Below are 2,003 nucleotides of genomic sequence, written 5' to 3'. Positions count from 1 at the left end.
GACAGCCCAGCCCTGCCATTCTCTGGAGCTCAGCCAGATTGAGCGGGTGCCAGGCAGGGCTGGGCAGGGGCTGAGCCTGTAGGTCTCAGCTGGGAGTGAGGCCCAGAGAGGGCAGCCACTGGTCTAAGGCCACACAGCAAATCAGGGACCCATCTTGGCGGGTACTGGCAGGTGGGAGGGGTGTTTCAGGATCCCGAGGGTCCCCTCCCTGGCCAGGGAGCTGTTGAAGAATTTCCCCCAACTCACAGGGGCCGAACTTGTCATGAATGCAGGAGCAACCTGGGAGGAGGCCCCCGAAGAGGCCTGTCCTCCCGGGACAGAACTCCTAGCCTTCCCTGGGAGTGAGGCTCCCCCCAAGGGAGGCCACACACCTCCCAGGAGGGCTGGGCCCTCCCCACTCTGGGTTGGGTGCCCCTCACTACTCCTCAAAGCTCCAGAGGCTCAGTAGGGCCTGGGAGTCCCATCTTTGTTGAGGAGCCCAGGGTAAATGGGGAGCCCTCTGGGTAGGGCACCAGGAGGACTCACTTTTGGAGCCAGCTCTGGGGTGAGGTCTGCCAAGGCCCAGGCCAGCCAGGGGGAGTGGGTGGAGGGGTTGCTCAGGGCTCCGGGCCAGACAGCTGCGGCCCCGCCTGCCCTGCCTCCTCCTTGCTGGGCTGACGCTTCGCCTCTTTGGGCCTCAGTGTTCCCATGTGAGAATGGGGCTGACTACAGTCCCGGGGGCATCTGTGGGTGAATGAGAGGGTTCGGCAGGCATGGATCTCAGCACCTGGCATGGAGGGCGTTAAGTGTGAGGTCTGGGCTCAAATCCTGGTCCTGTCACTTACCTGTGTGACCTAGGTTAGTGTCTTAACCCCCCGTGCCTCTGCCTTCCCATCTGTAAAATGGGACATAAGTGATTGTGAGGCTGAAACAAGTTATTCCATGCACGTGGGCCCGGAACTGTGACCATTCCAAGTGCCCGGCCCCCTCTGGAAGGGTCTGAGAGCTACCTTCCAGACTCTAGGACAGGAGTGTGGGCAGGGCATGAGCATGGCATCAGGTGGAATCATTCATCCATTCATAATTCATTCATTCATTCCCTCACTTCTCAGAAACACGCCCCTGAGCCTGGCTCACAGGGCCTCAGACCTGCCCAAGAGCATCTCACTGCCTCATCTGCCCACGAGTGACCTTGAAAAGAAACGTCCCCTCACTGGGCCTCAGTTTCCCCAGCTGTAAAATGGGGGCTGACTCTGCCTGCCTCACATGGCTACTGCGAGGGTGAAACGAGAGCCGACCTGAAGGCACCGACAGGGCACCTGGTTCTCAGTAGGCGCTCAGAGCATGTGAATGTCCTCCTGCCCCTCTCCTTGCCCTCCTGAGGAAGTGGCTGCCCCAGGCCTTGGCCCTGAGGCCCTGGCCCTGCCTCCCACCCCCTCCCTGGCAGTCTTGAAGGCTGGACCCACCCTGGCTCCTTGAAGAGGCAAAGTTAGAGGCTGTAGGGGCCCAGGGCCCAGGACACAGTCAGAACTCACGGGCAACGGTGAATGCGGGTCACTTGTTCATTTACGCACTCAACAAACCTTTACTGAGCACCTACTGTGTGCAGACACTTCACACAATTTTCACAATTCCCAGACATTATTGACCATGCTTTCCAGCTGGGCCACACAGTGACAAGGACTCATGGGGATCCACAACCAGCCTGGCCTGGCTCCCCGGCCCACGGTGCTTCCAAGGTGCCTGGAGCCCTCGCACAGGAATGGGCTGGAGTCTTCAGCTCTGGGTGAGCCCTTTGCCACCAACTCTCAGGAGCCTCAAGTCTCAGTGGAAAGCAGCAGCCACCTGGGCATTTGCTGTGCCAGGCACTGGGCAGAGCCTTTGGCACACCCCAACCTGGGGACCTCCCACCATCCTGTGAGCCAGACTCAGTGATCATCATCCCCATTGGCTTTAATGTTTAAAATATTGTGGAATCACATCCATGCCAGGGAAGTGGTGTGAAGGGAATCACGTGGGCTGCC

Source organism: Homo sapiens, chromosome 11, assembly GCF_000001405.40.
Source record: "Homo sapiens chromosome 11, GRCh38.p14 Primary Assembly".
In the NCBI taxonomy this organism is placed as follows: Eukaryota; Metazoa; Chordata; class Mammalia; order Primates; family Hominidae; genus Homo; species Homo sapiens.
The sequence above is the reverse complement of the archived record's forward strand: the minus strand, read 5'-3'. Positions refer to the sequence as shown.